At 45.6% G+C, this 24,176-nt stretch overlaps 1 long non-coding RNA gene across 2 annotated transcripts; it reads left to right on the top strand.

Annotated features, from left to right (window-relative positions):
* Window positions 1-23,811, top strand: LOC105375814 (uncharacterized). Of its 2 annotated transcripts, none has more exons than NR_188092.1 (3): window positions 1-222; window positions 17,445-17,715; window positions 22,957-23,811. It is a non-coding gene; the product is annotated as an uncharacterized LOC105375814 (long non-coding RNA). The 2 variants fall into 2 exon arrangements; NR_188093.1 differs by lacking the exon at window positions 22,957-23,811 and adding an exon at window positions 20,972-21,281.
* The last annotated feature ends 365 nt before the right edge of the window (window positions 23,812-24,176 follow it).

Below are 24,176 nucleotides of genomic sequence, written 5' to 3'. Positions count from 1 at the left end.
ACTCTAGTCTAGAGAGCACATTCTCTGCTCAGTTGCCCGGGGAAGCCACTAGCTACAGATGCTGGAGAATTTGGGCTGGTTTCTTCTGCATTTTAACAATCCCTGGGGCTTTCTTTGGTTCTTTCTTTATTTGAGTGAGGTTGAGATCATCTTTCTATCATGTCTCTGCATTCAGTGATATCCATATTTATCCATGTTTGAAAAGACACAGACATCAATCTGGTAAGGAATCCCAAGGGCTGCCCACATTAGAGGTTAACTTCTGTTTTCCTATTCCTATTTTCTCTTTTCATAATCTATCCTTGGGATGGAGAGACCTCAGGAATGGGAACTCTCGGGGGACATTAGAATAGCATTGGTCTAGGAGAACAGGTTGGGCAGCACAGAAGGTAGGTGGGGACAAAGGCTTTTATCCAAAAGTTACAGACCATTTGCCCAGGTGTGGTAAAATCACAAATACCATGGAATTCAGGCCCATAGATTGGTTTGTTAAAGAATTCAGGACACCAGAGGGGAACAGGCCCTCAAGAGTTGCTCACCAGCAGCCTTTCCGTCACAGGAGGCTCTGGGCCACAACTCTCCTAAGAGTTAGGGCTGAGCTGGAGAGCAGTGCTGACCTGTGAGAGGCTCTGGCTGCTTTCTACTCCTCCATTTGTCCTCAGGAGGCAGAATCCTAGAGAATGGAGCAGAAGTTCCCAAAGGTCTGCAAATCTGTGCTCTTTCTCAGTAGAGGACTTTCCAGGAGTCCCAGGACTGCTGTCTGAAATATGCATTTAGAAGCAAATATGAAAAACAATTCTTTATTTGAAATTGACAGAGAAGGAGTCAAACAAAACATGATCCATTTTAAAAGTGAATAACATGAAAGCAATATCTCAATTAAATCAGCATAGGAAGTCACGTAATTAATTAAGAAAAGTTCACTGTTTTTTTTTTTTTTTTTGACAGGGTCTTACTCTGTCACGCAGGATGGAGGCTGGAGTCCAATGGCACAATTGCAGCTCACTGCACCCTCAAACTCCTGGGCTCAAGGGGGCCTCCCATCTTACCCTCCCGGATAGCTGGGACTACAGGCGTGCACCATCATACCTGGCTAATTTTTAGTATTTTTTGTAGAGACGGGGTTTCTCCATGTTGGCAAGGCTGGTCTTGAAATCCTAGGTTCAAGCAATTCTCCTGCCTCAGCCTCCCAAACTGTTGGGATTACAGGTGTGAGCCACTGTGCCCAGCCTGCTGCTTTTTTAGAAAGAGGAGAGAAGGATGGTCTAAAACTCCCATTTTTTCTTGTCATTCACCTGGCAACTCAGAGTCAGGAGGAAGATGGGAGCTTTGAAGTGAGGTTCTGCTGCCCCACCCTGAGTTCCTCAGGGGTCACCTTCATCTCACCCTTCCCATTAGTTCCAAGTCCCCAGACTGAAGACAGCAGTTCCTGGAGTCAGTTCTCAAAAGAGTGAGTTCTCAAGGGAGAGGCCCAAAAAAAGGGAATCAGAACCTGGAACACTTCTCCCCATCCCTGTTCTGCCCCTCATAGGAATTAAACAAGATGGAAATGGGCAATGCTTCTTACCCACTGGTGATAATATGAGATGCCACAGAAGAAATGTTGGGGATTTTTGGAGGCAAAATTTGTTGGGTCTTCACTTTGTAAAAGTTGATGGCATCCCTATTTTCAGACTGTTCTTGGAGACAGCACCAGGCTTGTCTACCTCATACAGCTGTGATGGTCACCTGGGGCTGAGAGAGAAGAGCTTGCTTTCAGCTGTTAATGACAGCCAGCTTGGACTTCTTGAAGCTGAAGGGTCAGGCAGAGCTACGTAGTGGTATTGCACACATCAGCATCTTCAGTTTCCTAAAATCTATCCTTACAAAAAAAGAGCGACTCAGCAGGGGCTCAACATGTAATAGAGTCCACTAAAGAACATGTCTGAGGCTTGCATTTTTCAGCCCTCTGTTTTTCCCCACCATTCTACCTACCAGCCATGGGCTATATATAGTGCTTGGGGTTATGCAGGTGCCATAGGGTAAAAACCTTCCCACTCAGGTTCCAGGAAAAAAAAAATGACAAGAAACTTTACATGTCCCAAATACGGAACTAGAGTTTGGGGGTCTAAGTTCAGAAGGGTAAGAAGTGATCTCCATGGCCCTAAATATTTTGGAAGGAAATAGGCTTCTAGTTTCCCAAAATCTCCTTTTATTCCCAGTGTGGGTGAGGGAAGAGCACTGCTCTCAATTCTTAGCTTAGCCTTTAGGAACATGGACAGTCAGGTCAGCAGCCAGCTGCCCTTCCCCTCTCCAGAGCAGCAAGGAGTCCAGGACTCCAGCTCTGTTTCTGCAGACAGTGACAGGAGGCCAAAGGGCGGGCAGAGCAGGGGCAAGGTCTCAGCACACCCAGGGGTCGATGGAGAACAAACATATCATTAGGCTGAGAAAGGAGAGAAAGGAAAAAAAGATCTCAAAGTGTGTTCAAGCAGTACTCAGCTCTTTGTTTATCCACAAGAAGAACTGGATTCCAAGTCAGGGACATAAAAATTAACCCATGGCCTGGGTCACTTTGCCCCCACCTGCCACTCATACCAAGGCAGCCCAGCTCTGAAAGCATTGAAAGATGACACGTTTTGCAGGAAACAGTGACTCTTTGGATGTTAAAAAAATCTAGCCGCTGCCCAGTGGACACAGTGTCAGGGAGCCTTAAGAAAGCTGGTGTTGGGGGTACTGCCAAGGAGGATCATCGAGTGGGCATGACAAGCCCAAGAGTCAAGGTGACTGCTGCTTAAGGATATTCCATGTCTGTGGGGTCCACCCGTCTTGGGACAAGTCTTGAACTCAAAGAGAATTTTCCCTCCTGATTGGGGACATTAGAAAAGGGAAGGCCCTCCCCAGGGAGACTCTGCGTGAGGCCTGGCTTGGTGACATAATTGCGGGGCAAAGGGATTACAAGCTTTCACCGATGGGTTAATGGGGCAGCCACACAGCACCAGGAGAATGAGTCAGTGGGGAAAAATGTGAAAGTTGAGGGTGTGGGAAACAAGAAAAATCAGTGAAGACGGCAAAGGATGTCCCATTTTGTGGGAAGGAGAGAATTGTTTCCATTGTTGCTAATCATGACATCCCCTCATCAAATACACACATACACACACACACACACACACACACACACACTCTCTCTCTCTCTCACACCCACTGCCTGACACAGGCTGCTCCTGCTTGTGAATGAGGAGGTCTATCTGGCATAAAAGGGTGCTATAGGTATAGAGAGAAGTATATTTTTGTTTTTTTTCTCTTTTTATTATTATTATTATACTTTAAGTTTTAGGGTACATGTGCACAATGTGCAGGTTAGTTACATATGTATACATGTGCCATGCTGGTGCGCTGCACCCACTAACTCGTCATCTAGCATTAGGTATATTTCCCAATGCTATCCCTACCCCCTCCCCCCACCCCACAACAGTCCCCAGAGTGTGATGTTCCCCTTCCTGTGTCCATGTGTTCTCATTGTTCAATTCCCACCTATGAGTGAGAATATGCGGTGTTTGGTTTTTTGTTCTTGCGATAGTTGACTGAGAATGATGATTTCCAATTTCATCCATGTCCCTACAAAGGACATGAACTCATCATTTTTTATGGCTGCATAGTATTCCATGGTGTATATGTGCCACATTTTCTTAATCCAGTCTATCATTGTTGGACATATGGGTTGGTTCCAAGTTTTTGCTATTGTGAATAATGCTGCAATAAACATATGTGTGCATGTGTCTTTATAGCAGCATGATTGATAGTCCTTTGGGTATATACCCAGTAATGGGATGGCTGGGTCAAATGGTATTTCTAGTTCTAGATCCCTGAGGAATCGCCACACTGACTTCCACAATGGTTGAACTAGTTTACAGTCCCACCAACAGTGTAAAAGTGTTCCTATTTCTCCACATCCTCTCCAGCACCTGTTGTTTCTTGACTTTTTAATGATTGCCATTCTGACTGGTGTGAGATGGTATCTCATTGTGGTTTTGATTTGCATTTCTCTGATGGCCAGTGATGGTGAGCATTTTTTCATGTGTTTTTTGGCTGCATAAATATCTTCTTTTGATAAGTGTCTGTTCATGTCCTTTGCCCACTTTGTGATGGGGTTGTTTGTTTTTTTCTTGTAAATTTGTTTGAGTTCATTGTAGATTCTGCATATTAGCCCTTTGTCAGATGAGTAGGTTGCGAAAATTTTCTCCCATTTTGTAGGTTGCCTGTTCACTCTGATGGTAGTTTCTTTTGCTGTGCAGAAGCTCTTTAGTTTAATTAGATCCCATTTGTCAATTTTGGCTTTTGTTGCCATGGCTTTTGGTGTTTTAGACATGAAGTCCTTCTCCATGCCTATGTCCTGAATGGTATTGCCTAGGTTTTCTTCTAGGGTTTTTATGGTTTTAGGTCTAACATTTAAGTCTTTAATCCATCTTGAATTAATTTTAGTATAAGGTGTAAGGAAGGGATCCAGTTTCAGCTTTCTACATATGGCTAGCCAGTTTTCCCAGCACCATTTATTAAATAGGGAATCGATTCCCCATTTCTTGTTTTTGTCAGGTTTGTCAAAGATCAGATGGTTGTAGATGTGTGGTAATATTTCTGAGGGCTCTGTTCTGTTCCATTGGTCTATATCTCTGTTTTGGTACCAGTACCATGCTGTTTTAGTTACTGTAGCCTTGTAGTATAGTTTGAAGTCAGGTAGTGTGATGCCTCCAGCTTTGTTCTTTTTGCTTAGGATTGTCTTGGCAATGCGGGCTCTTTTTTAGTTCCATATGAACTTTAAAGCAGTTTTTTTTCCAGTTCTGTGAAGAAAGTCATTGGTAGCTTGATGGGGATGGCATTGAATCTATAAGTTACCTTGGGCATTATGGCCATTTTCACGATATTGATTCTTCCTATCCATGAGCATGGAATGTTCTTCCATTTGTTTGTGTCCTCGTTTATTTCATTGAGCAGTGGTTTGTAGTTCTCCTTGAAGAGGTCCGTCACATCTCTTGTAAGTTGGATTCCTAGGTATTTTATTCTCTTTGAAGCAATTGTGAATGGGAGTTCACTCATGATTTGGCTCTCTGTTTGTCTGTTGTTGGTGTGTAAGAACGCTTGTGATTTTTGCATCATTGATTTTGTATCCTGAGACTTTGCGGAAGTTGCTTATCAGCTTAAGGAGATTTGGGGCTGAGATGATGGGGTTTTGTAAATATACAATCATGTCATCTGCAAACTGAGACAATTTGGCTTCCTCTTTTCCTAATTGAATACCCTTTATTTCTTTCTCCTGCCTGATTGCCCTGGCCAGAACTTCCAACACTGTGTTGAATAGGAGTGGTGAGAGAAGGCATCCCTGTCTTGCACCAGTTTTCAAAGGGAATGCTTCCAGTTTTTGCCCACACAGCCATGATATTGGCTGTGTGTTTGTCATAAATAGCTCTTATTATTTTGAGATACATCCCATCAATACCTAATTTATTGAGAGTTTTTAGCATGAAGGGCTGTTGACTTTTGTCAAAGGGCTTTTCTGCATCTATTGAGATAATGTTGTGGTTTTTGTCTTTGGTTCTGTTTATATGCTGGATTACATTTGTTGATTTGCATATGTTGAATCAGCCTTGCATCCCAGGGATGAAGCCCACTTGATCATGGTGGATAAGCTTTTTGATGTGCTGCTGGATTAAGTTTGCCAGTATTGTATGGAGGATTTTTGCATTGATGTTCATCAAGGATATTGGTCTAAAACTCTCTTTTTTTGTTGTGTCTCTGCCAGGCTTTGGTATCAGGATGACGCTGGCCTCATAAAATGACTTAGGGAGGATTCCCTCTTTTTCTATTGGTTGGAATAGTTTCAGAAGGAATGGTACCAGTTCCTCCTTGTACCTCTGGTAGAATTCGGCTGTGAATCCATCTGGTCCTGGACTCTTTTTGGTTGGTAAACTATTGATTATTGCCACAATTTCAGCTCCTGTTATTGGTCTATTCAGAGATTCAACTTCTTCCTGGTTTAGTCTTGGGAGAGTGTATGTGTCGAGGAATTTATCCATTTCTTCTAGAGTTTCTAGTTTATTTGCATAGATGTGTGTATAGTATTCTCTGATGGTAATTCGTATTTCTGTGGGATAGGTGGTGATATCCCCTTTGTCATTTTTTATTGCATGTATTTGATTCTTCTCCCTTTTCTTCTTTATTAGTCTTGCTAGCAGTCTATCAGTTTTGTTGATCTTTTCAAAAAACCAGCTATCGCAAGAACAAAAAACCAAACACCGCATATTCTCACTCATAGGTGGGAATTGAACAATGAGAACACATGGACACAGGAAGGGGAACATCACACTCTGGGGACTGTTGTGGGTTGGGGGGAGGGGGGAGAGATAGCATTGGGAGATATATCTAATGCTAGATGACGAGTTGGTGGGTGCAGTGCACCAGCATGGCACATGTATACATATGTAACTAACCTGCATATTCCTAAAACTTAAAGTATAATAATAATAAATAATTAAAAAAAAAACAAAAAAAAAACAGCTCCTGGATTCACTGATTTTTTGAAGGGTTTTTTGAGTCTCTATTTCCTTCAGTTCTCCTCTGATCTTAGTTATTTCTTGCCTTCTGCTAGCTTTTGAATTTGTTTGCTCTTGCTTTTCTAGTTCTTTTAATTGTGATGTTAGGGTGTCAATTTTAGATCTTTCCTGCTTTCTCTTGTGGGCATTTAGTGCTATAAATTTCCCTCTACACACTGCTTTGAATGTGTCCCAGAGATTCTGGTATGTTGTCTTTGCTCTCATTGGTTTCAAAGAACATCTTTATTTCTGCCTTCATTTCGTTATGTACCCAATAGTCATTCAGGAGCAGGTTGTTCAGTTTCCATGTAGTTGAGTGGTTTTGAGTGAGTTTCTTAATCCTGAGTTCTAGTTTGAGTGCACTGTGGTCTGAGAGAGAGTTTGTTATAATTTCTGTTCTTTTACATTTGCTGAGGAGTGCTTTACTTCCAACTATGTGGTCAATTTTGGAATAGGTGTGGTGTTGTGCTGAAAAGAATGTATATTCTGTTGATTTAAGGTGGACAGTTCTGTAGATGTCTATTAGGCCTGCTTGGTGCAGAGCTGAGTTCAATTCCTGGATATCGTTGTTAACTTTCTGTCTCGTTGATCTTTCTGACGTTGACAGTGGGGTGTTAAAGTCTCCCATTATTATGGTGTGGGAGTCTAAGTCTGTTTGTAGGTCTCTAAGGACTTGCTTTATGAATCTGGGTGCTCCTGTATTGGGTGCATATATATTTAGGATAGTTAGCTCTTCTTGTTGAATTGATCCCTTTACCATTATGTAATGGCCTTCTTTGTCTCTTTTGATCTTTGTTGGTTTAAAGTCTGTTTTATCAGAGACTAGGATTGCAACTCCAGCTTTTTTTTGCTTTCCATTTGCTTGGTAGATCTTCCTCCATCCCTTTATTTTGAGCCTATGTGTGTCTCTGCACGTGAGATGGGTTTCCTGAATACAGCACACTGATGGGTCTTGACTCTTTATCCAATTTGCCAGTCTTGTGTCTTTTAATTGGAGGATTTAGCCCATTTACATTTAAGGTTACTACTGTTATGTGTGAATTTGATCCTGTCATTATGATGTTAGCTGGTTATTTTGCTCGTTAGTTGATGCAGTTTCTTCCTAGCCTTGATGGTCTTTACAATTTGGCATGTTTTTGCAGTGGCTGGTACCAGTTGTTCCTTTTCATGTTTAGTGTTTCCTTCAGGAGCTCTTGTAGGGCAGGCCTGGGGGTGACAGAATCTCTCAGCATTTGCTTGTCTGTGAAGGATTTTATTTCTCCTTCACTTGTGAAGCTTAGTTTGGCTGGATATGAAATTCTGGGTTGAAAATTCTTTTCTTTAAGAATGTTGAATATTTCCCCCCACTCTGTTCTGGCTTGTAGAGTTTCTGCTGAGAGATCAGTTGTTAGTCTGATGGGCTTCCCTTTGTGGGTAACCTGACCTTTCTCTCTGGCTGCTCTTAACATTTTTTCCTTCATTTCAATCTTGGTGAATCTGACAATTATATGTCTTGGAGTTGCTCTTCTCGAGGAGTATCTTTGTGGCATTCTCTGTATTTCCTGAATTTGAATGTTGGTCTGCCTTGCTAGATTGGGGAAGTTCTCCTGGATAATATCCTGCAGAGTGTTTTCCAACTTGGTTCCATTCTCCCTGACACTTTCAGGTACACCAATCAGATGTAGATTTGGTCTTTTCACATAGTCCCATCTTTCTTGGAGGCTTTGTTCGTTTCTTTTTATTCTTTTTTCTCTAAACTTATCTTCCCGCTTTATTTCATTCATTTTGTCCTCCATCACTGATACCCTTCCTTCCAATTGATCGCATTGGCTACTGGGGCTTGTGCATTTGTCACGTAGTTCTTGTGCCATGGTTTTCAGCTCCATCACATCCTTCAAGGACTTCTCTGAATTGGTTATTCTAGTTAGCCATTCATCTAAGTTTTCTCAAGGTTTTTAGCTTCTTTGCCATTGGTTTGAACTTCCTCCTTTAGCTTGGAGTAGTTTGATCTTCTGAAGCCTTCTTCTCTCAACTCATCAAAGTCATTCTCCATCCAGCTTTCTTCTGTTGCTGGTGAAGAGCTGCGTTCCTTTGGATGAGGAGAGCCGCTCTGATTTTTAGAGTTTCTTGTTTTTCTGCTCTGTTTTTTTCCCCATCTTTGTGGTTTTATCCACCTTTGGTCTTTGATGATGGTGACTTACAGATGGGTTTTTGGTGTGGATGTCCTTTCTGTTTGTTAGTTTTCCTTCTAACAGTCAGGACCCTTAGCTGCAGGTCTGTTGGAGTTGGCTGGAGGTCCACTCCAGACCCTGTTTGCCTGGGTATCAGCAGCGGTGGCTGTAGAACAGCGGATATTGGTGAACTGCAAATGCTGCTGCCTGATCGTTCCTCTGGAAGTTTTGTCTCAGAGGGGTACCTGGACGTGTGAGGTGTCAGTCTGTCCCTACTGGGGGGTGCCTCCTAGTTAGGCTACTCGGGGCTCAGGGAACCACTTGAGGAGGCAGTCTGCCCATTCTCAGATCTCAAGCTGTGTGCTGGGAGAACCACTATTCTCTTCACAACTGTCAGACAGGGACATTTAAGTCTGCAGAGGTTACTTCTGTCTTTTGTTTGTCTGTGCCCTGCCCCCAGAGGTGGAGCCTACAGAGGCAGGCAGGCCTCCTAGGGCTGTGGTGGGCTCCACTCAGTTTGAGCTTCCTGGCCACTTTGTTTACCCACTCAAGCCTAGGCAAGGGCGGGCACCCCTCCCTCAGCCTCGCTGCCGCCTTGCAGTTTGATCTCAGACTGCTGTGCTAGCAATGAGTGAGGCTCCATCAGCGTAGGACCCTCCAAGCCAGGTGCAGGATATAATCTTCTGGTGTGCCGTTTGTTAGGCCCATTGGAAAAGTGCGGTATTAGGGTGGGAGTGACCCAATTTTCCAGGTGCTGTCTGTCACCCCTTTCTTTGATTAGGAAAGGGAATTCCCTGACCCCTTGCACTTCTGGGATGAGGTGATGCCTCGCCCTGCTTCGGCTCACACACAGTGCACTGCACCCACTGTCCTGCACCCACTGTCTGGCACTCCCCTATGAGATGAACCCAGTACCTCAGTTGGAAATGCAGAAATCACCCGTCTTCTGCGTTGCTCACGCTGGGAGCTGTAGACTGGAGTTGTTCCTATTTGGCCATCTTGGCTCTGTCCTTTTTACTCTTTTTCCTCTAAACTTCTCTTCTTGCTTCATTTCATTCATTTGATCTTCAATCACTGATACCCTTTCTTCCAGTTGATTGAATCAGCTACTGAAGCTTGTGCATTCGTCACGTAGTTCTTGTGCCACAGTTTTCAGCTCCATCAGGTCATTTAAGGACTTCCCTACACTGGTTATTCTAGTTAGCCATTCATCTAATCTTTTTTCAAGGTTTTTAGCTTCTTTGCATTGGGTTTGAACTTCCTCCTTTAGCTCGGAGTAGTTTGATCGTCTGAAGCCTTCTTCTCTCAACTCATCAAAGTCATTCTCCATCCATCTTTGTTCCATTGCTGGTGAGGAACTGCCTTCCTTTGGAGGGGGAGAGGTGCTCTGATTTTTAGAATTTTCAGATTTTCTGCTCTGTTTTTTCCCCATCTTTGTGGTTTTATCTACCTTTGGTCTTTGATGATGGTGATGTACAGATGGGGTTTTGGTGTGGATGTCCTTTCTGTTTGTTAGTTTTCCTTCTAACAGTCAGGACCCTCAGGTGCAGGTCTGTTGGAGTTTGCTGGAGGTCCACTCCAGACCCTGTTTGCCTGGGTATCAGCAGCGGAGGCTGCAGAACAGCGAATATTGGTGAAGAGCAAATGTTGCTGCCTGATCATTCCTCTGGAAGCTTCATCTCAGAGGGGTACCTGGCTGTGTGAGGTGTCAGTCTGCCCCTACTGGGGGGTGCCTCCCAGTTAGGCTACTGAGGGGTTGGGACCCACTTGAGGAGGCAATCTCTTCACTCTCAGATCTCAAGCTCTGTGCTGGGAGAACCACTACTCTCTTCACAGCTGTCAGACAGGGACATTTAAGCCGGCAGAGGTTTCTGCTGCCTTTTGTTCAGCTATGCCCTGCCCCCAGAGGTGGAGTCCGCAGAGGCAGGCAGACCTCCTTGAGCTGTGGTGGGCTCCACCCAGTTGGAGTTTCCTGGCCACTTTGTTTACCTACTCAAGCCTCAGCAATGGTGAGTGCCACTCCCCCAGCCTCACTGCCACCTGGCAGTTCAATCTCAGACTGCTGCGGTAGCAATTAGTGAGGCTCCGTGGGTGTGGGACCCCCTGAGCCATGTGCGGGATAAAATCTCCTGGTGTGCCATTTGCTAAGACTGTTGGAAAAGTGCAGTATTAGGGTGGGAGTGACCTGATTTTCCCAGTGCCATCAGTCACCCCTTCTCTTGGCTAGGAAAGGGAATTCCCTGACCCTTGCACTTCCCGGGTGAGGTGATGCCTCGCCCTGCTTTGGCTCACACTTTGTGGGCTGCACCCACTCTCCTGCCCCCACTGTCCAACAAGCCCCAGTGAGATGAACCCGGTATCTCAGTTGGAAATGCAGAAATCACCTGTCTTTTGCTTTGCTCATGCTGGGAGCTGTAGACTGGAGCTGTTCCTATTTGGCCATCTTGGACAGACCTGCCTTTTAGTTTTTAGTCATTAAACAATGTAAATGTAATTTATTTGATAAAAATACAGTTGAACAATGTAAATATTCCTCTTATCTTGAGAGAAGGTATAAAAACAGGCAAGATTCAATCTGTATGAGGGCCTCTGACTTGCATCCTTGTCCCTATGGTCAACTTTCTCATCCTTAGCACAGCTAAGTATATCCCTTCACCACACCTCCACCCCAGCCCCCAGCACCCTCCACTGATGGACTGGATCCAACCCCACAAAGAAAGTGAAAACCATCTGCTCAAAACTTTTCTTCATGAAATCTTAAGAAATGAAAACAAAAACTTACAGCCCAACTCCCTTTATTCCATCTTTCCTGTTACAGTTTTTAGAAAGGTATCACTCAGCAGTCCTTCCTTGATCTTTCCAAGCTAGGAATGTTTTCTTTACTTCTCCAAACACACTTCTTACTCTGTGTTGTGCCTTTTGGTTTAATATTTCACCTTAGGGTAAGTTCTTCTCATACCTGGAATCTTTTCTATTTATTTGGCTTCCTGGCAGAGAAAGTTTCTTTTAAAAAATGTAAAATATACAAAACATAAAATTTATCATCATAAACATTTTAAACCTACAGTTCAATGGCAGTAAATACACTGTTGTGCAACCATCACCACCATCCAGCTCCAGAATCTTTTCATTTTCCCAAACTGAAACTCTACCTATTAAACAATAACTCCCCATCTCCCACTCCTCCAAGTCCCTGGAAACTATCATTCTACCCTCTGTTTCTATGAATTTGACTTTTCTCTCTCTCTGTCTCCAGGATCCTGTGAGATTCAAATGACATGTTAAATGGGAAAACATCTGCAATACTAGATTAATGTTTCTCACAGTAAGACTGATCTTTAAATCAGCGATATTAGAATCAACTGAGGTGTATTTAATGAATAAAGATCCCTGGGTCATTCCAGAACCAATAAAATCAGAATCTCTGGGAGCAGGATCTGAACTGTTCTTCTTTCTTCTTTCTTTCCTTTCTTCCTTTCTTTCTTCTTTCTTTCTTTCTTTTCTTCCTCTTTCTTTTTCTTCTTTCCTTCCTTTCTCTCTCCTTCCTTCCTTCCTTCTTCCATTTCTTTCCTTCCTTCCTTCCTTCTTCCCTTTCTTTCCTTCCTTCTTGCCTGCCTGCCTGCCTGCCTTCCTTCCTTTCTGTCTGACTGTCTCGCTCTGTTGCCCAGGCTAGAGTGCGGTGCTGGGATTACAGGAGCCTGCCATTTGTATTTTTTTTTTTTGTTTTTGGAGACTGAGTCTCGCTCTGTCACCCAGGCTGGAGTGTAGTGACGTGATCTCAGCTCACTGCAACTTCCACCTCCTGGGTTCAAGCCGTTCTCCTGCCTCAGCCTCCCGAGTAGCTGGGATTACAGGTGCATACCACCATGCCTCTAATTTTTTGTATTTTAATAGTGACGGGGTTTCACCGTGTTGCCCAGGCTGGTCTCGAATTCCTGAGCTCAGGCAATCCACCTGCCTCAGCCTCCCAAAGTGCTAGGATTACAGGCATGAGCCACTGTGCCTGGCCTGTATTTTTAGTAGAGACGAGGTTTCACCATGTTGGCCAGGCTGACCTGGCCAACTCCTGACCTCAGGTGATCCACCCACCTTGGCCTCCCAAAGTGCTGGGATTACAGGCAGTAATCCCATCTCATCTATTGTGAGCAGTAGGGAAAATCTTCCACTAGGATAAGCCAGAAAGTGGTATTTAAGTGAAACATAAAATATGCTCTGAAGATGAAGAAATAAGAGATGGTCTGTTTCAATTTCTCAAAAGAAATGCCGCACTCTAGTGTCTTTACAGCATCCATGTCCCACAAGCCCATAGCCTGGTGACCATGGTCTTCAACCCACAATTGGTGCTGTTGATGCTGTCAATGCAGAATTGAAGACAGAGAACCAGAGATTTTTAAGTCAGAAGCATGCTTCAGAAGTTTTAGTTTGTAACTATTGTTTATTTCTGGAAATCATTTGGAAGATATTATTTTACTTTTTGTCTCTCCCAATTCCAAATTGTTTGCATTATAATTTTCTTTAAACCGGAAAATAAAATCATAATTTTAGAAAAGTGAATCTTGTGTTTAAGAGGTGTCAAGTTTGTGCCCTTACCTTTCCTGTGCACCAGGATAGTGAATCCACAACAACCTCTCCTGCTGCACTTATGGCCGATAGCACCAATCCTTCTCAGCCAACTTCCCTCCTGGATCCTGTCAGGCATTTTCTCAGCAAGCATTCCAGAAAGCCATGACTCACTTATCAGCATCAGTGCTTCCACCAATTAGCTAAGAGAATATTGATATTCAAGAAACTACCCCAAAACTCAGTAGGAGAAGTCAGGACTTCTGAATGACAGAATAGAGTTTGGCAGGCCCTTTGCCCAGCAAAACAGTGTAACTGGTGAAAATTATTTAAAACAAACAAAACAGACAAAAACACAATCATTCAACATCTCTGGAAATTGTCCTAGGGACCTAGAGGAAATGGAGAAAATGCATTTAAGAAAATCCACCAAACCTTGGTGTACAGTGAGAGTCTGTGGCATTTGAGCCGAGACCCCATTATCCACACCGTGAACCCAGGTTACAGAACCTCTGCTCTGGGCATGTGCAGCCCAGAAAATGAGGGCTCTTTCTCCCCAGCCCAGAGTCTAGGACTACAGTTTTACACTGGAAGGGGAGGCTGCAGGAGTTTCTCATTCCCCTGGCTTTGTGTTGCAGAAACTGTATTCCAGGTAGGTATGGGAGAGAGGACTGGTCCTCTTTTTCCCTAAATCAGCCCCCACTCTGAGGCAGAAACTCTATCCCAGGCATGGCAGTCTGGGAGTAATAGGTTCCTACTGGCCTCACCTAAGCTCACTCACACGATGGGAATTCCATACCAGTAAGAGCACATCAAGAAGACCAGGGGCTGCCAATCACTCCAACAGCAACCCCTCATAGAGCAGCGGTGTCAATCCAAGAAAGCCATTTCTCTACCACCAACTCCAATGCAAGGATGCAGGGGATCTGCCCAAGGAGAAAGGCAGTGCATGAGGATGAAAAGCTCAGCAGCTGTTCCTGAAGGGACTGAAAGTGAGGGGCTCAATGCCTGAGGGCACTAGAACAGGCAATGGTTCCACTGGGGAGAGCAATGATAAGGCTGGGAGCTTTGATACAAGTAAAACAGCAGAGAAGCCAGATTTTTAACAGAGAACTAGGAAAAGAGACGGATAAGAAGAGCCCCCCTGAAACAACAGTGAACTCTGGGGTGTGAATGCTGTGTGCGTGGTCTAGGTAGCACCAACACAGGAGTGATCACAGCAGGATGCATTAGAAGCAAGAAAGCACTCCCCGTGCTGCACACAGACCCAGCAACACACCGGCAAAGCCACCCAGCACAACCCCTGGCTAAACACAAAGTGAACAGAAAGCCACATTAAAAATAACTTCTCAGTGCCCCCCTAGAAGTCTGGAAGACAGTGAGCAGGTTCAAGGCTTTGCCTCTCAGAGGCAATTAGAGAAAGAACCTCCAAGCTTCTAGTCACTGGGAAAAAAATGGAGCAAAAAATAAACTCCCTGTATTGTAATTAGAGTTTCTAAGCCACACACACACATCTAACAATAAAAGGTAAACATGTAACTAAGTGGACCTAAGCACAACATTTGACCTATAAGTGGCTTTTGTTGACCCAGAATTGACCTCTAGAAACCCAGGTTAAAAGATAAAAATAAAACCCTAGTGCTCATACAGATGGGCCCTGAGCTCACCAGGGCCCTATGTACTTCCTGTAGCTCTCTGACATGAATGGACCACTCAAAGGAGAGGACTTGCATCTTCTCTATCTATCTCTCTCTCTCTCTCTCTCTCTCAGAAAGATCAAATGCTACACACTGCAGAGGGAACAGACCTCTTAGAATTGGTTCAGCCAAATCTCCAGGCAAATGAGCAAGCAATGAAGCAAAAACAATGCCACACCCTTGGGGGATGTAGACTCCATATTCAGAGTTGTTATACTATATTATCTAAAATGTCCAATTTTGAACAGCAAAACATGAGAGACATGTCAAGAAAAAAGAAAGTGTGACTTATACACATGAAAATAAGCAAGTGATAGAAATTGCCTTTAAAGGACCCAGATGGTGAACTTAAAGGAAAGAGACTTCAAAGCAATTAGCTATCTATATTTTTTCAAAGAAATAAAGAAAATCTTACTTAAAAATTAAAGAAAGGCTGAAGCATGGTGGTTCACACCTGTAATACCAGCACTTTGGGAGGCTGAGGAAGGAGCTCAGGGCTGCTTTGGCCTCATGGGGCCTGGGGAGCATGGCCGGCTGACTGCACAGTCTGCTTGGAACCGTAGGTTCAGGGGGATTATTATTATCTAGTAAGGTCTCTGGAGGACCTGTTTTAATGCTTGGTTAAGACTGAGGGGTTTTTATAATGTAAAACTATATGCCTAAGGAGCTTAATATGTTTGTTCTTTTAAACAGTTCAAGCATTTTTACTAAATCTCATTTATTCTCTTAATTTGCTTAGCAAATCTTTTTAAAACACAAATGAAAAGATAAAGATAGACTTTGAAAGAATAAAAATTCTAAATTAAGAAAATCCCCACATTAGTGAGATTGTGTCTGCTGGTTTTATCTGCAGCTAAGTTGTGTGCATGAGTGTGGGGTGGTCAGTAGGGAGCCACGGATTGGTGGAAGCTGATGGGACCCTAAGACAGCTTCTGGGCCTTCAGAGAAGCCCACATAGCTCTGCCTTTCATGGACTTAAAATTACAGTGGGGTTTCCACGCTAGGTTGTGAGGAGGGAGCACACCAAGGCTCACAACTTCTGCTTGGAGGTGAGCGGCAGGCCTGGTCTGTCTGAGGGGACACTCAGGAGTGAGCTGGGGCTGATTCCCCCACAGAGGCTGCAGGAATACAGAGGAGCAGGGAGATCTTTGCTGCTTTCATGGGATAGGCTTGATGCATTTTGTTATTTCCAGGAGGAGAAAATATTAATGGTTGTAAGAGATTTTCTAGATTTAGGGATCTTTTTGTCATAGAGTAAATCATGAAGTGTAGCAGGAGACATTCACCCATGTGTCTTAGTCCAGTCAGGCTGCTGTACAGATTATAGGTTATGTGGCTTACAAATAGCAGGCATTGATTTCTCACAGTTCTGGAGGCTGGAAGCCCAAGATCAGGGCACCAGGGGGTTTGGTGCCTGGTGAGGGCTCTCTTCCTCATTCTTAGATGGTGCCTCCACTGTGTCTGTGTGGTGGGAAGGGCAAGGGCCTCTGAGCCTCTTTTATAAAGGCACCAATCCTATTCTTGAGGGCTCTTTCTTTATGACTTCATGAGCCCCACTTCCTAATACCATCACTTTTGGGGTGAGGATTTCAAGATATGAATTTTAGGAAGATACAATCATTCAGATTCTAGAGACCCTCACCCATATCTATATTAAAGAGTGTGACATCTTTCAGAGAAGAAGCAGGGGGCTGTGAACACCCTCATCTGGCAGAGGGCTGGGCTTGGCCTTGGTCAGACAGCAAGGCTTTCAGGAGAGCACCCTGTCTTTGTGGGGTCACACCTTCAATATGGCAGGGTTCTGTGGTCAGTCCTGCTCTCAGAGGTTATGCAGACCCCTCTTGGTTGTCAATGTGGCACCTCAGAACCTCTTATTAAATACTCACCTTACACAGTGGCTATAAGAACGGAATGCTTAATAGATGTTGTCACTACACCAGTCCCCGACACAGGATGAGAGCTCAATCTATGGGGATAACCACAATTGTTTTTAATTTTCCTCACAGCTCTTACAGTCTACTCAGGAATGCCAGAATTTTAATTAACAAGAAGAAGTGTTTATGGTTTAAGAGAAAATCACAAGGCAGCATTTGAATCATTTGTAAAGTTGTCCTCATATTTCTTGCCCTTGGCATGTTATGTTTGTAATATAATAATTTACTCATGTACAGTAGAGACCCCTCAGCCCAAGCAGGGCTAGGGTAAATGTGGCGAAGGAAAGTTACAGCTGGAACTTGTTGAATCTGAGCAGTAGGTGCCTATTTAGGGTCCTTCTTCCACTTTGAGGTATGATTTGAGGCTGGGCTCTGAGGAAACTCATCATTAAAAGGGAGGGTGCTGGTCTCATTTGGATTCTTGATCTGCATGAGCAGATGTATTCAACTCATAAAATATACCACATTTTACCCATATGCATACATTTTCATGTATATATTTAATGCTTAAAGGGTTGAAAAAATTGTTTTGTTTTTTAGTCTGGAAAGAACGATGTGAGGACAGGACCCCTGCTACTGTGTGTGTCTCTCATCCTGATGTTGACATATGTAAAAGAAAAAATCTGCTCCGGACACTTGTGAAAACCAGCAAGACAGATGTTATTGGAACTCCTGCATTAGGCTACGACCCTCAGTACAGAGTTGAGCTCAGCTCTGGAGGCAGCATGGACAGTGAGTGGAGTGTTTATGGACAATGAGCAGAGGGTCAGCGGATGGACAGTCACTAAGAGGAACTTGATGAGGTATCAAGGTAAGGGGGGTTCTTATTAAACTGGGCTACAAAAGTGTCTTTCTAAAAACAAGCCAAGGAGCCAGATTATCAAGGTTGGGAAGGGGGCTTCCTCACTAAACTGATTTAGCAGGAATCTACAGAAGCCCAAGTTCAGGCTTAGTCAAGAATAGGGATTAGAGGAGCTGGACTACAGTTGGTCAAGGAGGGACTCCTTGGTGCTGATGCCACCGGCTCTAAGTCCTGCTGAGCTCCAGGAGCGACCTCTGCATGGAAACTCTCCTTCGGAAGGGCCAGTTACAGGGATGGGAAATGGGGCCTAGGCTGTGGGTCTTTGTCTGTGGTGAGGCCTGAGGGATGAGAATCTGAGGGGGCAAAACATACTTAAGACCCTCTCAAAGGTGGGGTGAAGCCAACTTTCACCCTAAGTAGCAGGTGCAAGGGCAGCCAGCTGCCAGGGGGAGCATGGGGCCAGGCCAGGCCTGTGGGCTCTGGGAGCAGTCAGGCTGAAGGGCTGTTGTATCCAGGAGAGCAGGGCAGGGCTCTCACCCTGGGGCCACACTGCCCGGTGCCAGTCTCTTTCCATCACCCACTGTCTGTGAGGCTCTGGGGAGGTCCTTCCCCTCGCATAGTCTCAGGCTCCCTCACCTGTGAAAGTGTGGACAAGGATAGCAGGCAGGATCACTGTGGGTGTCAAAAAGCTGAGGCCACAGAAGGCTTTGGGCCATATAGAGGCAGCACTATGAGGTCCATGGTAGAAGGGAATATCATTCAGTGCTGCCCGCTGTGTCCTCACTTCAGCTGAATTGGCACCTGGGGGATGGTGGCCCACAGGAAAGTGTGGATGAGTTGGCTGGTCCTGGGGCTGCAGGGATAGTCTTTCCAGGCCTAGGGCTATCACAGCAGGGGTCTGTGGAGATAGGGAGCATCCAGGGGGACTCTTCCTGGGACAAGTGGGGGAGAGCTGAGTGACACTCAGGCGACACTCACATGCCCATTGTAAGTGACAATGAGTCAGGCATCCCAGTGAAGAACCGAGGCTCACAGTGACAAGTGACCTACAGTTCAGAAGAGGGCCATGTCCCGTATGTGGCTGGCCTGACACAGGATGTCTCCAGGGCCCTTGCCCAGTGCTCTTTTGTCAGGTACCGTCTATGAGCAGGCACTCTCTTAAGATACAGGAGGCCCAGGACGGCACGTAGACACACCCTGGCCAGAGAAGCTGCTGCCCTTGCAACACCTGGGGCTCTGGGCCCCTCTGTGCTGCTCCAGAAGGTTTCCCCTGTTGTCCTGTGAGCAGCTGGAAGGCAGATCCTGGTGGGCACCCTACTGGGGAGATGGCACAGCTGACGTGGTGGGACCTTAGCTGTGGAATGTGGCAGTGAGGGAAGGCTCAAGCATCAGCAGGTGGGAAGGAGGTGGCGAGGGCAGTGTGCAGCCAGGCCCCAGAGCCTGCTGTGGAGGAATCAGAACCCCACAACTATTGGGCTTGTGCTGAGTGGGTGGTGAGAGGCAGAACTTGACACAGAATGGGAGGCCAGGCCAGGCCCAGCCCAGGCAGGAGGAGCTGCCTCCGTGGGGAGTGAGGCTGGGAGAAGGGAGGGGGTCTCATATGTCTCAGGATCTCTCTGTGGGTGACACGAAAAGCCCTCACAGAACCTCTTGGTTGCAGGAGGTAGTGATTTCCTTAGTATTTTACTCTAAAGCTCCAATAAATTAGAGGCCCTAATATCTGAATGTGAAGACCCCATTAAAATGATAAATGGCCTCTACTGCTCTCATTAGTTTATAACCCAGATAGAAGAGTCATGTGTGGCCATCTCCAAGGAGCAAAACTCCAGGCCACAAAAATAGCCCCAGAGATGGACACTTGGAGACATGAATCTGGGTCCAGGGGACCGAGAGAGTCCAGGGCTGGCAGCACCACAGGAAAGGCTGATGGAGCGCCCAGCAAAAGGAGAGGCCTGGGTTTTAGAAGTGCCCAGCCTCTCCCCAGCCATTCACTCAGCAGCTGAGATCCCTGCAGAGCCATGGGCCTGGCTCTGCTCCATATTTGGCTGGTGACTTTCTACCGGCCACCCCCCTTCTATGAGCTTTATTTTCTTTAATTTGTAGGATGCTGTACTTCTCAGAGGGGCTACAAATGGATTAATCCTTCCAAAGTCATAAAGGGCTTCATATCATAAGGTGTTATAAGTGTCAGTTCTAGGCTTGGCTGATTGGAGATTAATCCAGGTGGATCCAGGTGTATGGAGAGTGGTGAGGGAGGGGGCACAGCCTTGGGAGCAGCGGCCAGAAGACAGGGGCTGTGTGCTTAGCTCCACTTGTTCTTGGAGTCACTGGGTCTGTAATGCAGGTGTGCTGCTCCTGTGCCTGCCTCAGTGGGCCCTGGAGAGAGGGCCTGGCCCTGTACTGCCCCCACCACACAGGGATAATGTGGTCCTGGCTTGGTGTATCCCAGGCAAATATCAGAGATGGTGCCTCTACAGCCCTGCGCTCCCTGGGAAACAAAGCACTTGCCCCTTTATGCACTCTCTTATTTAGAACCACCACGGGAAGTGCTCATCAGCCTCTACAATGTGGTCTGTGCATATGTGGCATTTTGCTTTCCACTGTGGCATGGTCACTGGTACTGGACTAACCCTCCAGCATCAATCAGCAGGTGATATAGAACAGTGGACATAGGCAAGAGACACACACAGTGAGCCCACCGTCACCCCAACATCACCATGGCTTTCTTCCTCCTGGCCACAGCAAAGGATGGTGGGGAGTGAAGCAGCAGGAAGAGCCACAGCCTCACTGAGCCCTGGAGCCCAGTTCAGAGCAGAGTTGCAGCTGCAGAGGCAGGCAGGCGGCACCTGTGGTCACATGGTAGGTGAGGGCAGACATCCGCATGGGTTCTCCATGTCCATGCCCTTGTTTCAGGGCTGGCTGGGCATGTGCAGGCTCAAACTCCACATTCTGCAAGAGAAGGCCTCCGCAGCTGACAGCTGAACAGAGGCAGGGCTGGGAGATGTGGGAATCCTGCCCAGTGGGATTGAGAGAACTCACCAAGCACTGCAGGCCCTTCCATCAGACCCAGAGAAGCCATGCCTTACAGATGAGAAACATGGCCTGCAGGAAGGCTTCACTTCAGAGTAAATTACAAACAGAAAACAGACGTACACACACCGTAGAAGGAACCCAAACCAAGCCAGATAGATGAAAAGATCTGTGACTTACCTGTCTCTATAACAGAACTTAACGTAATGGCTGTCTTCTCCCTGTCTCTCCTTAGGGGGTTTATCAGCTGTGCATCCATCTTCTAGCAGCTTCTGTGTCTTTTCTCCCTGGAATGTTCTCCTGTGCCCTCCTCTTCCCTCCCTCACTGAGATATAAACAAGCTGCCTCATGTCTGTCTTGTCTTGTTGGAAGCCTGGGGCTTGACATCAGAAACTTATCATCTCAGGATGTGTGCACCACACAGTTCTCTACCCCAAAAGTCTTCTTCTTACTTCGTTAAACAACATGATTTTCAGGCATTGCTGAAAATAATTGACTTTTTAAAAAATATCAAGACTAAGCTCAAGATCTGGATTTCACAATGCATTTATTACTTTATGTGTCTTCTCCTCATTCTCATGTGAATTTGTATTCCAGGTGCTAATTAATCATGCCAAGGCTTTCTTCCCTTTCTAGATAACTTGCATTGTTTGGGGCGCTAACTGGTTGGTGTCTTTACTGTTTTGTCAAACATCAGCCCCTTTATTGTCTTTGGCCCATCAAACAAGTCCATGGTCGTTTATTTATTTTCCAAGGCTGGTTTTCCTGTGGGGATGAGCAATGACCTTGATGATCCCTCTAAGGTCTCACGTGTGGCTGTGAAGAAGTGTAGTGGAGCAAGTGCCAGTCAGAGGCAATGTAGCCAAGCCCAGACCCCTGCCGTTCCTGTCTACAGCCTCTCTGTCTCAACTCCTCACTGAAGGAAAGGGCAGAATGCCTCAAAAGTCAAGACAAAGTTGGGGCATGTTAGAGCTCCTGGGACCATGAGAGAGTGGACAGCAACCCCAGAAATCTGCTCAACACTGAGTGAGGGAGGTGGTGGACTCTGTTTATCCAATTTGTTGGCCTTGTCTTCAGATTCATCAGAAATGAGTAGGAGACCAGGTGAGAGATTGCACATAGACTCTCCCACACAGGTGGGACTGCACCTGAGGGTACTTGATCTTGCTGTTGATACAGGTGAATAACTCCATTTGGTTGGCCATGAAGGACATCTAAATACACATGATAATGGTGGACCAGGTAGAGAGTCAAGAAAGGTTGGGCCCAAAGTAAAGAAGCAAAAGTTTCTCTGACACACAGAGTGGGTGGAATTTGGGAGTCTAGGCAGCTGAGCCCCACAGAAGTCTCTTCACATGGAGCAGAACCCCAGTCAGCCTAGAATTGAGGGCTTATTCTCAGGAAAGGCTGGTAATACCTAGGCAGTGCTTTGGACTCAGGAGAGACTTGGAGTACTAAGGCATCCGCTAAAACAGGACCCAGGGTAGAAATATAGTCCTAAGGATTAAAGCCCAGAGTAGGGCTTGGGCTCAGAAACCATACTACTGGATTCTGGGCACTAGGTCAGAGTTGGGCTGGTAATAAGTATTCTTAATATCAAGTCCCTGAGTGTGGCCATAGTTGTTGAAGTACTACAGGACCTCTGCTAGAAGGGCTGACACTTTCTGTAGATAGGGATCAAGTGGCCTTGCTGTGGTGAGGAGGCTGTGTGTAGAACCTGGAAACTAGGCTGAACCTGGCAGATTGGAAGGTTGTTCATGGACCAAGCACATGGGCTTCAGTCCACGTGAGCCACTTGGCATCATTCCACAGCTAATGAGTGCTGTTTGTGAATGCTCCTTGAATGCACATTGTAGCTGAATGAAAAAATTCATTCATGTGAATTAAGGAGAGAGGGAGGTGAATAGTAAGAGGCTGGCACAAGCAGACCCTCATCAAACTGCAGAATTAATGAATGACTAATACAAAAAGATCACCAAGTGGAAAAAATTCACTCCATGCACTCCTCTAGTGAGAGGAGAGAATCATGAGGCTGTGGCACATGGCAGGGTTTGTTGGTGGGTCAGTGACAAGGTTTCAGTTTGGAGGATGACTTGGGTACATTGGAGACAAAATAAATCAGTAAACCTCTCACCTTTTTTTGTGACACCTTATCACATTGCATACCTATTTTGCCTTCAAGACAACCTCATGAACTGGGCATTATTATCTATATTGTAGAGCCCAAGAAGCTGAGCCTCAGAGATGGCTGACAAAGGTCCCTCAGCTCTCGGATACCTAGAACTCTGCAGTTTGAAACAAACCATGGTGAGAAGTGTTCCCTAAGGCAGGGAGAAGAGGCTGGCTCCACAGAAACAAGCCCTCAGCAAGGCATGGTTCAGGAAGTCGATGTAGGTGGCTCCAAAGGCAAGGCTGGTGCATTCTGATTTTTGACAAAAGTTGGCTTTTCCTCTGCAGGATGTGGGCAAGCTCATCCCCAGGTGTGGATGACTTTGGGAAGAGAGTCAGTTGACCTATGTTTGAGGCAGGAAAAGAAATGGAAGGATTACATTTATATCAAGTTTGCTACAAAGTAACAGATTGTGAAATCTCACAGCTCCAAGTGAGGTAAGCAATGTTCACTGATGCTCATGAAGAGTGACAATACATTTATTATCTCATCCGTGCAACTTTCAGAAGTGAATGTTTGCATATTTAACAATTATCCCAGACCTCAGACATAGCCGAGGAGTGTCTACAGCAAGCCAAGACCAATGGCACCATGGATCTGGGTACTAGGTCTCCACAGCAGGCTGAGTGCAGCCTCAGGAATCCAGGATGCAGAATCCAATGGCAGAGGCCAGATGAGGGCAATGTACAGCACACACTGTGGGCCCACACTGACCTCTCTCTGCAGGAATCATCCCCACTAGACCTTGGAAGACTGAGGGGATAACTAAAAGGAAAGTACTGAACCCAACGTACTTAAGAAAAGCTGCCTCAAATGGTTTTGTGACTAAGGCAAGTCACACGATCTGTTTTGGGTCTCACGTTCATCATCTTTAAAATAGGAATAAATAATTTCTTGCCTGTCTACTATGAGATTGTTCTGACGTTTGAGTGGAACAATACCTGTAAAGGTGCATTTTGAAAGGGCAGTGTGAAGCACATGGAAGAGCACAGTTCTGAAGCATCACTCATTTCCACCACTGTAGCCACATGAGGGAGTGGGAATGATGTTTTACATCCTTCTGTGGGACTGTGAGCTCAGGGATAACATGAAAGAACCTGATGCCCAGGTGGAGAATTTTGGGGAACAAGGTCAGGGAGGGGAGGGCTGGTGCAGGTGCTCTCAGGGTGATGTGTGGTCCTGGAGAGCCTGGTTGGAGGAAGGGCCCTGCAGGAGCCATATTTGGGTATGTGGACGCCCTGGGTCTTGGGATTTTATACTTGAGCCAGTG

Source organism: Homo sapiens, chromosome 8 (genome assembly GCF_000001405.40).
Source record: "Homo sapiens chromosome 8, GRCh38.p14 Primary Assembly".
Lineage (NCBI taxonomy): Eukaryota > Metazoa > Chordata > Mammalia > Primates > Hominidae > Homo > Homo sapiens.
This window is presented reverse-complemented; position numbering and strand designations above follow the sequence as displayed.